The following is a 12,681-nucleotide window of genomic DNA, read 5'->3' as shown; positions in this document are numbered from 1 at the left end:
CCGAGCTATTCAGAAACTCTCAGGAGGTCAGAAGGGCTACCTTTGTCCAGAGCTCTGGTTAAAGATTAACAGGCTGGAGTCTTTGGGCCTGGCAGGGCCTAATGTAGTCTGCTGTCACCTCTCCGGGGTGAAGGAGCTGTGCGGGGCAGGCCCAGTGCCCACCGGATGACAAGAACAAAAGCCACCACACCCAGAGGCAGGATCTAGCATCTTGACCCCAGCTCTCCCTGAACTTCTCGGGGCCTCTGTTTCCTCAGTTGTGACATAGTGGGGTTGGACCTGACTCCCAGGGTACATGACAGAGGAGGTTTGCAAGGGAGCTGGGCTGGGGTTTGGCCTGCTGCTGGGGCCCTGAGCCCTGACTGCCCCATGGAAGCACAGCAGTGCAGCCCACTTCTGCGTCTGTTGGGGCCTCCAGCTTTCCTCTTCAGGGTTGCTGAGGAAGTTCTGGCAAGTTCCATCCACAGGAAGGTGTGCTGGGGAGGGATAGCAAATGGCAGACGCAAACACTAAGCCACAGGAAGCTCCCCATGGGACCACCAGGTGAAAACTGAGCTTGGCCTTGCTCAGGGGAGCAACCTGACATGGGTTTTTTTTGTTTTTTTGGGGTTTTTTTTGAGACAGTCTTGCTCTGTCGCCCAGACTGGAGTGCAATGGCATGATCTTGGCTCACTGCAACCTCTGCCTCCTGGGTTCAAGCGATTCTCCTGCCTCAGCCTCCTGAGTAGCTGGGATTACAGGAGTGTGCCACAACTCCCCGCTAATTTTTGTATTTTTAGTAGGGACGGGATTTCACATGTTGCCCAGGCTGGTCTCAAATACCTGACCTCGTGATCCACCCACCTTGGACTTCCAAAGTGCTGAGTTTACAGGCATGAGCCACCACGCCCGGCCACCTGACATGGTTTTTATGTTCTGTGAGAAGTTTTGTTGTTTTCTTCTTTTTAACGAGAAGATTTATGAGAATTCCTGCATCTTAACATCTATCCTGACACCGAGATAGAAGGCATTCTGAAACTACACATAATCCAGAAATGTGAACTTCCACCTCGTACCCAGAGGCCTCGCCCAACATCAGGTGCTCTCAGGCTCCAGATCCATTTTCAGTCAGGAAAAGAAATGAAAATACAAAACCAAGCAATTGAGTGAGCCATCTCTTAAGGACTGAATTATCAGGCATCTATAATGCTCTTTACCCTTTTTTCTTTCCCAGTCAGCGATGCTGCTTACACTACACATAAGATAAATGCAGCCTGGAAATGCAGCCTTCCCATTTTTGTTCCAAGCAGGTGGAAGCTTCTCCCTGCTGCTGTGTGGTCCTGACACACATACCCCAGTTAAAAACAAATAAAAACAGAAATGGCCCCACCATCACTAAATAAAACACCATGTATCTCCTTTGGTCCAATCACCCCATCTCACGTGGCTGAGTGACGCTGGCAGAGCATGGACCCCTGGATGCTGGGTAACTGCAGCAGAGATTCTCTCCCTCTGTAAACAGGCTGCAACCCGAGGAATGAATGTGTGCCTTCTTCTAGGGCTGCTCCTACCCTTTGCTTGCACAGCCTCTCTCTGTGCTCTGGTTCATTACAATGCTGAAGTCACTCTGCTTATCAGGGACCTTTGAGCTGCAGAGCACTGGCAGAGGCTGTGAGGAGGGATAAAAGAAACAGAGGACTGTATTTCTGGCCCTGAGGAGTCTACCTTCTAAGGAAGAAGCAGGTAAAGTGCATATAAAAGATAATATGTTACTACATACATAAAGAAATGCAAACTCCTCTGCTGTGAACGATACTCTCAAGCCCTGGGGGCTATGGGATTAGTGAACATCGTCAACCAGGTAACTCAGGGAAAGCTTAGCCGGGTGGTGAATCCATCATTGATCCCACTAGCACAGATAGTCAGGTGCAGACATTCCAGTCAGTAAAGGCTTGCCCTCCAGTGTGCATGCTAGTGCAGGCATCCCAGGGTAGGAAACTGTAGGCAGGCTTGTTGCAGCAGTGTGGGAAAGAAACAGGGGTGAGCCACGCGGAAGGACTTACCCATGCAGAACATCAGCGCCCATTCACACATCTGTCCCTTTAACAAATGTGTATTGCCTGTTCTGACACTGACATGAGCATTCATTCATGCTGACAAATCTGGCTAATTATGATAGGCAATCAGCAACCAAGCAATGATACAGTCAGAGTAGCATTGGAAGAAGAGATTTTTGAGATGACATGAGGAAAGGCTTAGAGGATAAGAGAGGCTGGAAATGAAAACTCAGAAAATAACAAGACTTGAGTGGGTTTTATTTAGAAAAAATATTAATGACACAAAACTTACAGAATTTTGGCCTCATTGTTTTGTGGTCTTTTTAATCAGCTTAACATGTTAGAAATAGACACATAACATGCTACAAGAAAATAGAGAGGACCCGGGCTTGGTGGCAGGAGCCTATAGTCCCAGCTACTTGGGAGGCTGAGGTGGGGGATCGCTTGAGCCCAGGAGTTCAAGGCTGTAGTGTGAGATGATCATGCCTCTGAGCAGCCACTATACTTCAGCCTGGGCAACATAGTAAGACCCCATCTCTTAAAAGAAAAAAACAGAGCGTGAGGTAGGTATTCACTAATATTAGTTTATGAAAGGCATAATTTTTTCCAGCAAATTCAGTAAAACCTGGAGACCATAACCTGGGATATTACCCAAAATGGTCATAGATCCCGCACGCTGTCCAACCACCTACCAACTCCACCCTACAGTCTTCATAACAAGTGATATGGTTTGGATGTTTTGTCCTCTCCAAATCTCATGCGAAATGTGACCTCTAATGTTAAAGGTGGGCCTAGTGGGAGGTGTTTAGGTCATGGAAGTAGACCCCTCATTACTGTCTTGGTGCTATCCTCATAGTACTTAATGAGTTATCACTGTATGGGCTCTCGCAAGATCTAGTTGTTTAGAAGATCCTGACACCTCCTCCCTCTCTTTCTTGCTCCTTCTCTCACTATGTGACATTCCCTTGCCTTCCACCATGATGGGAAGCTTCCTGACACCTCACCAGAAGCTGAGCAGATGCTGGTGCCATGCTTGTACAGCCTGCAGAACCATGAGCCAAAGAAACCTCTCTTCTGTATAAATTTCCCAGCTTCAGGTATTCCTTTATAGCAAAGCAGAATGAACTAAGATAATACGGTAAAAGCGAAATGAAACAGAGACAATAGCTACTGGCTGAAGGAAGAGTCAACTGTCATGTTTGAAGCGTGGATCAAGCCTTCAGAATAACCACGTGGCCCATATTTCATGGCACTGTCTTAAAGTACATGACCATACTCCCAGAAGCTCCCACCAGCTGGCTTCTCACAGCTTTCCTTCACTGTGGCTGTGCTTACCTTCTGGTCTGCCCAGCTCCAGTCTATCAAAGACTCCATAGGCACAGACAGCACGGTCAGGGCTGAGTGGCTGCCACACCTTGACCAAGCCCGCAGCACCAACTTCTGACCCAAGGAGTGTCCCCTGAGCCTGCTCACGTTATGTGGCAGCCTTTTGTCTACCTAAAGATATTTCTTCAAACACTCTCTGGCAAAGATTCACTCAGGAAAGGCAGCTGCCTCTCACCCCGTCAGCTGCTATGTTCTGAAACACATTGGCCAAGAAGCACTATATGTGAAAATGCCTCGCAGGGCTCCATGAGCTTACGAGCTGCAGGGAAATAAAACAATATTTTAACAGGCTTTCCAACCAACAGGGATCCTGGGACTCTTATATTAGGATCCATGACTAATCCTGTCAAAACTAACACTGGCTAGAACAATATTTAGCCAGGAAAATTGCTGAAAGCTGCCAGTGTGTGGTCCTCCGTTTAAGGACTCATCAGGTTATTATGTTGGGCTGGGGTTTGGGGAGGAGAGGGCATTTCAGAGAAAGTTTTACCTTACATGGAACAATTCCTGATGTATCCCAAGAAAAATCCCATTACTGTATGGACAACAGCCCAGAGCCAGGCTGAACATTTGCAGGGGTCTTTCAGGCTTTCTCTTTGGAGAGGGCAAACTGAGGTTTCCCCAAATGACACGTTAGTTTTGTTCTTACAGCCTTGGGGTTAGCAAATTCTATGTCATGTGCCAAGATTCTGAGCCTTCTCCCCGAACCTGAGAAGGGAGGCAGGGAGGGCAGTGGCCGTGGCTCCTCCCAGTGAAGGAGGAGGGAGTAAAATCCTCCGTGAGCTCCCAGAACTGATGCCGGCTCTCCAAACGCGATGGAGAGTGGGACAGCACCGTACAGGAGCTGAAGGCAGTCAGATGTAAACTCTGTCAGGCTGCAGCAGCCTCAGCCCTCCTTTGGGCTGTTTGTGTCTCTGCATCATGTCTTCTTGTACTCAAACACATACATGTGTATGCACATGCTCACACAAACGTGTGTTACACATGGGCTCACATAGGCACACCGTTGTACACACACGTATGCAAAAACACACGTACATATACACTCATGCAAGCAAACACACACTCTGATGCCACAGGCACCTGTGTTCTCATATTTTACATCTTTTCATACTCTGAATACATGCATACAGACACACATGTACACACAAGATCACACAGCACACACACTTCTGTTTACACATATGTTTACATAAGTACACACATACCCTTGGTAGGGGAAATGGCAGAGATGGGCATGAGCGCACAGAGCTGAGCAGAGAGAGGCAGAGCACCTGGTTGTGTCTACAAAGGCAATCTGCACAGGCGGCCCAAGTCGAGGATCTAGGTCAGGTAACGTTCATGGAATCCCAGCTCCACTATGGGCCAGCTCAGTATTGTTGGGTTAGTAACTTAATCTGAGGTCCGGTTTCTTTTTCTCTAAAGTGAAAATGACACTATCTACTCATAGGATTTTGTTTTTCCTGGGGGATTAAATGAAATGGTATATGTTGGAGCTCTTTGTAGATTGCATTGCCATGAAAATCACAGAGGAGCCAAGGAAAAGGAAAGACATGCATCCCTATTTACCCCTATCAGAAGATCCTTGCAGATTTTGAACCAAGGATAAAAAGTTAATGAAAGCCCTACAATCAAAGGACATAGCTCTATCTAAAGCTCAGAACCACCCCATCTGTTTGCATGCTATTGTTAATCTTTGTACATCACCTGGTGAGGGAAGATGTGCCTTCACGGGTGTGAGACCTCGAACTGATTGGAAATGACCGTCCATTATATAACAACACAGAGTTACAAAACATACAAAAACATGCAGTCTTTATTTGAAATTTTGGTGCTGTGTTCATCATGGATTATTTTTTTTTAAACAGGGTCTTGCTGCTCTCTCACCCAGGCTGGAGTACATAGGTGTCATCAGCGTTTACTGCAGCCTTAACCTCCCTGGCTCAAGTGATCCTCCCACCTCAGCCCCCCAAGTAGCTGGGACTACAGGCACATGCCACCACGCCTGGCTAGTTTTTGTATTTTTTGTGGAGATGGGGTTTCTCCATGTTGCCCAGGCTAGTCTCAAACTCTTAGGCTCAAGTGATCTTCCCACCTCCATCTCCCAAAGTTCTGGGAATACAGGCAAGAGCTACCATGTCTGGCTCATCATGGATTTGTTAAATTATTTGTACAAAAATAATTTTATTTTTAAAACATATTGAATTAAGATATTATTTATCTCGATTACTAAGTTCTTTGGTGCCCCCTTAAATTTTGCCCGGGAACCCCAGTACCTCTTCGCTTCCCCCAGCTTCAGGCCTGGTGAACTGCAGGTGCGTGTTACTCATCATCCTCGTGTTTGACTTCAGTACATCTTCTGGGCAGCCAAGTCACTCTATCTTTGCTCCCTATCTGCCCTATCTATAAAACAAAAAACTATTGCAAAGAGTATAAAAGAAATTAGAAAGCAGGTCCTTGGTGTCTAGGACCTTACAATTTGATTGAAAAGCCAACCTGATTCAAGCCACTGAGCTGCACAAGATGGTGCAGTACAAACTATTCTTGTACACTTTTGTAGGAATCAAGACTAGAAGGAAGAATTCTGGGTGCCACAGTCCCTCTCTAACAGGTTGATCAAATTGAACGTTAAATGAAATACACATTTGGATTAGCACAAAAAAATGGAGAGACATTTTCAACAGAGGAACATTGCACGGCTGAGATGGTTTGTGCCTCCTTTCCTCCGGCTCTGGGGCAGATTTCAGTTCTAAATAACGCTGGGTACACAAAAGCGATGGCGGTCAGAGTTCTTGCTCTAGAAAGAAGGGTTCAAATACCCTCAGTTGCTCATGAAACCTCACAGCAACTGGCAATATTTTTTTTGGGGCCATTTTGGCCATTTCAGCAACAGACCTTAAAAATGGATCTTGATTTTATGTGTTTTTTTTTTTTTTTTTTTTACCACAATCATAAAAGAAAGGTAGAGGGAGACAAGGAGGATGAGAGGGATCTTTCTGGTCACAGTTATAGCTAAAGGAGCCCAGGAGATGCGACAACTCCACATAGCGAGGTATTCTAGATGAAGACTGGAACATGGTAAGGACCCGAGGTAAAAACTAAGGGAATCTGAAAATAGACTTTAGTTAATAATAATGTATCAATCTGGGCTCATTAGTACTCTACTGATGAAGGATGTTAATAGGGTTAACTGTAAGGAGGTACATGGAGACTTTGTAACTTTTCTGTAAATCTAAAACTATTCTAAAATTAGAAGTTTATTAAAACAAACAAAAAGGTTTTGGTGGCTCAGTAAGATTAGAATCAGGAAGAGGGATAAAAATGTGTCCTACAGGTACCAAAGGTCACAGTAACTTGGGCTAAAGGCTCTTTTCCAAACCTCCCCAGAGGAGGACACGTGTGGGGGCATGATGAGGCGGCCCGGACAACAATGAACGCTTGGAGAAGGAGTCCAGTAAAACCTCAGGTAATTAACCACAGCTAGGGTGTTCTGAGCTGAAAATGACTCATACAGAAATCTCCCAGACCAAAGCACAGGATGTCATAGGCAAAGCAGAGTTCCTGCTGCCCCAGCAAAGGCCTGCGAGCTCCCAGGGCTGGCCCTGGAGGCTCCGGGATCGCCTGGACTCAGTTTACCCCCTGCCTCCTTGGCCCAGTCCCAAAGTAGAAGAGCATAGGGCTGATAAGCCTCAAAATGGAATTAAAATGAGGAGTAATTAGAGTAACAGCATAGCTCAGGGCACATGGAAATTCTACAGAAGCATGGTCCCATCCCAGCCTCTGGGGCCCCACTGTGTTTATTTAAGTTTCTTTATTTGGAAAACCATGGCAAGTCAGGGGCCCTCAAGCACTTAGATGAAAACACAGAATGTCATACTAAAAGCACAACCTGTGTGTTGATGTGCACACACACAGATGCATGCCCACACTCATGCACACACATATTGCCAGGCCTAGCGTGCACAAGCCGACAGTTCTGGACACGCAGAGAAAGGCCCACCAGCACCAGTCCTCTGCTCCTGCACCCCGCAGAGGGAACCTGCGCTGTGCGCGCCACTCACAGGCTTCCCCTACAGGGCACACCACTGCACACCACGTGTGTTTGCCTTTGGTTTCTCAGAACCCCGAAGAAAGTGCAGAGCTAGTCAGCTGAAGTCTGTGTTTATTCTTTCCATCTGATTGGGAAGTTTCCTGAGTACCCCATGCGAAACAGTGCTCCCTGGAAAGCAGTCAGAGCCCAGGAGCCAGAGCACAGAACCCCACCATCCAGGGAGGCAGCCCGCAAACAATCGCAGCCAACAGGCCCATGTGATTTCACAGCAGCCAGATGGAGACAAACCACTCAACTCGGCAAAGAGCCCAGCAGGCTGCCCGCCTGCAACCTACTGGGCAAGGCACAAACAGCCAGGTGAGGTGTTCTGAGCCCCAGCACTCTAGGGGCTGGTTGGTCAAGACCCACAGAACCAGAATGACAGGCCCCTGGCCCACTTCCCACAGGCCCTGCATCATCACCTCAGGGACACAGTCCAGAGGAATTGGTGTTGGCAACTCACTTCAGCACCTTGCCTCCCTCCAACTCCAGTTCTCTCTTCTCCAACGCTAACTGAAGCGTTTCACTTTGGACTCCCTGAAATGTCTTTCATCCCACCCTTATTCCACCTTCTGAAGCTACCAAATAGTGAATTTATTCTGTGCACTGCATGAGGGCTCCTTGTAGGGTTTGATTTTCTCCAGAGTCTTCTTTTCTCCAGCCTGGCTTCACTTTCTGTGACCATTTTGTTTACCTCTTCTGGATGCCTTGATTTATCAACATCCCTTAAAACTAAAAATACTGTTTTTAAAGCACAGTTTGGAGTTTAGAAGGGGATCAATGTCAAGGAAATTTATCTATCCCATTGCTATGGTTTGGGTATTTGTCCCCTCCAAATCTCATGTTGAAATTTGATCCCCAATGTTGGAGGTGGGGCCTAATGGGAGGTGTTTGGGTCATGGGGGCGGATCCCTCGGGAATAGATTAATGCCCTCCCTTCAAGGCGAGTGAGTTCTCATTAGTTTCTGCGACAGCTGGTTGTTGGAAATAGCCTGGCACCTTCCTCCCCTCTGTCTTTCTTCCTGTCTGGCCATGTGATCTCTGCACACTCTGGCTCCTCTTCACCTTCTGCCATGAGTGGAAGCTCCCTGAGTCCTCACCAGAAGCAGATGCTCCTGTCATGCTTCTAGTACAGTCTGCAGAACTGAGGGCCAAATAAACCTCTTTACATATATATATATATATATATATATATATATATATATATATATATACACACACACACACATTATCCTGGCTCAGGTATTCCTTTATAGCAATACAAACGAATTAAGACACCTGTTCTGACTTTTCCTTTTTAAATACTATTTGATAACAAATAGGAATTTTAATTTCTAATTAACAATGAGAAAATTCAAGTCCATGACCTTCCTAATTCTATCATTCCTTCTGCATTTATTACCTGCATTCTTCTGTCAAGCAGAGCTTTCCTTTATCAACTGAAGTTATTTGGCTACCATAAAGTATATTTCCCATTGGAAGGGCAAGATTAACGATTATTATTCTTACACGACCTTCAGATAAGAAATTGATTATTTGCTGCAACAAATAGTGTGAATGGAGGACTTTCTTCTCTCTCCTTCTCTCAGTGATTAGTATATGATTGTTATAGATTCATAGATTTTCTCCATTTTAGAAATGGAGAAGTCATAAAGCTAGGAGAGATTTTCGTCTTTCTTCTTTTTCCTTTTTTTTTTTTTTCTTTGAGTTGGTGTCTCTCTCTGTTGCCCAGGCTGGAGTACTGTGGCCCGATCTCAGCTCACTACAACTTCTTCCTCTCAGGCTCAAGGAATTTTCGTGCCTCAAACTCCTGAAACAGCTAGGATTACAGGTGCACATGACCATGCCCAGCTAATTTTTTGTATTTTTATTTTTTATTTTTTGTGTAGAAGGGGTTTTGCCATGTTGGTCAGGCTGGTCTCAAAGTCCCGACCTCAAGTGATTTGCCTGCCTTGGCCTCCCAAAGTGCTGGGATTACAGGCATGAGCCACCACACCCAGCCAGTTTCCTCTTCCACTGTGATGTAGCTAATAAGTGGCAGAGCTGGGACTAGAACCCAGGCCGGTCTAACACCAAGACCAATCTCCTAACCATTATACTCTCCTGCTTCCTCGTAGCCTTTTTTTCTTTCTTTTTTTTTTTTTATCTTTAAGTTTCCAAATATTGAGTTTGAAAGTACAAGTTCTTGCAGTTCATTTGGTTAATCCTAGACCCAGATACCTAAGTTAATGTCCCCTTTGTGGAGTATTGCCTATTCTGGGATTTCATTTACTCTTAATCATCATTCTATTCTTCCCCATTTTCAAAATCATGCTCATTGATAGGGGAGAAAGAAGCAAAACAGAAACTGAGAGACTCTGGTTTTTTTTTTTGGTTAACATTGCATTTCTTTCCCAATCAGTAACCTACCCCTTTCTCATTCATCTTTTTTTTCTATGAACAGAGCTATATATGTCCCAAATACAATCCAGAGAACTAAAAGAACTTCCAGATAAGATACACATTCCCTTCTTCTCCCAAATAGTTCTCCACTGCAATCCCACCAGCAGCTTCACGGATTTACTCTAATCCAGAGTTCCTTCTCTCTTCTCAGTTCTACTTAATTTCTTTTGAAGTACCTAAACCTTTCCACATAGTATATATTTGTTTCATATAATAGCAAGTAATATTTTTTCTACTTCAAATTATCAACTTCTGTATCTGTTTATGCTGACTGTAAAGCAGACTATCTCCCAGTTCTAGGATAAGAAGAGAGGGGGGCTTGATATCTACATTTTTTGTTGTTGAAATAAAATCACAAATATGAGTCACTAGTAAATAAACAGTTAATCAACTCATGTATTTGTGGGTTAAATAAAATCATGTTGACTGGATATAAGTCAATTATTTAGAACATTAATATTAAACAATAGCTAACACCTTGTCTTCACGTACTATGTATGAGTTATCAAAATAAGTCCCTTGCAGGGCACGGTGGCTCACGCCTGTAATCCTAGCACTTTGGGAGGCTGAGGCGGGCGGACTGCCTGAGTTCAGGAGTTTGAGAACAGCCTGGAGAACACGGTGAAAGCCCGTCTCTATTAAAATACAAAAAATTAGCTGGGCATGGCAGTGTGAGCCTGTAGTCCCAGCTACTTGGGAGGCTGAGGCAGGAGAACTGCTCGAACCCAGGAGGCAGAGGTTGCAGTGAGCCGAGATCGTGCCACTGCACCCCACCCTGGCGACAGGGCAAGACTCTATCTCAAAAAAAAAAAAGTCCTTTACCTGAATTATCTCATTTTATTCTTACAGCAACCCTTTCAGATGAGTATTTTAACATCCCCACTTTAAAAGATGAGAAAACCAAGGCTTAGGAAGTCTAAAAAATGACCCACAGCTGGTAGGTAGCAGAGCCAGCATTCAAAACCAAGTCCCTTTGATTTCGGAGCCCACACTTTTAACCACACCCTGTAACACTATCCCTTTGCTACTTGGAATACGTTAGCCAATGGAAAGGGGTCTTGTGACATAAAGCCACTCACGTACAATACTGTCACATGAATTCTGAGAAGCAGACTTCCAGTTTCAGTAAGGATGAGTATCTTGGGGCTGATTAATGCTCTTGCCAAAAGTAACTTAGAAAGCTGGATAAAATATTTTAAAAATTATTTTCCATGCATCAAAGAGTCACTGAAGTGAAGGGGACTAGAGGGTCCGAGATTCTAAGGAGGGAGGACCCATGTAGAAGTGAGCTGACTTTGTGCAGCTACATTAACCCTTGTGGCATTTGCTGATTCTGGGAACCAGTTATGAACTGAGAATCTGGGCTCTGCATAGGCAAAGGCTGCTTCAGGGGACAGAGGGTCGGCAGAGTTTTGGGAATTTTTCATTTACACTTGAAGGACCAATTATTTGGATGAGAATGAAAGGGCAGAGAAGTGGGCTTATCCCACTGCCTGGCTTCCTCTAAAAAAATTCCTCAAAATCTGAAGCTAGGCAGAGCAGAAAGTTAAAAGTAAGCAGACATCTCAGAAAGATGAAGTAGACCTCCATCATTCTTATTCTTTCTGCTAAGTACAACTAAAAGCCCAAGACAGTAAACACAAATAAGACAAACCTAAGAAGACTTCAAAAGGTGGAGAGAGGAAGGCAGATGAGTTAGGGACCTTAGGACCTAACAAATAACATGGTGATAAAATCCCTAGGTTTGTTTTGATTGTTTTAGTTTTCTGTTAATTAGTTTGTTTGCCTCATGTATTCCATAATTGGTGCTGAAGAAGCCAGAAATCCAGAAATGCCAATGAACACGGACAAAAAGAAGTTCCAACAAAAGCCTGTTCTCTCTAGCCAAAGAGCCAGGAAACGGCAGCCTCGCAAGACAGGAAACACTTAGTTAATAATCACTCAACCTCAGCCAAACACTATAGAAAAAACATCCATGGTCTTACCCTCCCTCACTCACACCACCAAAGACCGAGTGGGGAGTCTAGACTTCACCCTGGCCAGGCTATCACAAGGTGCCCCAAAACTCCCACAGGGGTAGTACCAGAGAAGGCCAAGTAAGGAGCTAAGACTTGAATCCCCACTGGCTGGTGTGAAATCCCTTCTTCTCCCACAGCATCAGTGGTAACCACATGGGGAGACTAGATGTTCACCCTACATGGCAGTCTTGAAACACCTCCTCTTGGGTGTCAACAGAGGCCAAATGGGAACCTGAACTTCTCTACTCCAGCGGGCAATACTGAGGCAGAATTGAGTGTCAGAGAAATCCAGGTAATGTAGGAGGTTTAGATGAGATCCAGAGTATCATAACATCAGATGAAGCTATATAGATTCTCATTGAAAATCACCTGTCATACTAAGAGCCAGGAAGATCTCAAACTGAATAAAAAAAGACAATCAGTAGATGTCAACACTGGGATGACAGATGTGTTAGAATTCCCCAACAAAGATGTTAAAGTAGTCATCATAAAAGTGCTTCAATAGTACATGAAAGTGAGAATGTATTTAATGCCACTAACTGTACACTTTAAAAAGTGTACTTGGAAACTACACAACACACTTCTAAAATGGTTAGAATGTATTTTATCATAATTTAAAAACTTCTAAGAGCTTCAGCAAGCAATTATGAACATACTTGAAACAAATAAAAAATAGGAAGCCTCAGCCATAGAGGATATAATCGGAAAA

General features: G+C 44.7%; 1 annotated feature.

Annotated features, from left to right (window-relative positions):
- Window positions 6,951-7,000: a silencer, noted in NCBI's record as "silent region_1924". NCBI's record gives its function as "represses an Ori minimal core promoter by ATAC-STARR-seq in GM12878 lymphoblastoid cells {active_cell/tissue: GM12878}" and the evidence as "EXISTENCE:reporter gene assay evidence [ECO:0000049][PMID:35858748]".

This window comes from Homo sapiens, chromosome 1 (genome assembly GCF_000001405.40).
Source record: "Homo sapiens chromosome 1, GRCh38.p14 Primary Assembly".
Classification (NCBI taxonomy): domain Eukaryota; kingdom Metazoa; phylum Chordata; class Mammalia; order Primates; family Hominidae; genus Homo; species Homo sapiens.
The sequence above is the reverse complement of the archived record's forward strand: the minus strand, read 5'-3'. Positions and strand labels throughout refer to the sequence as shown.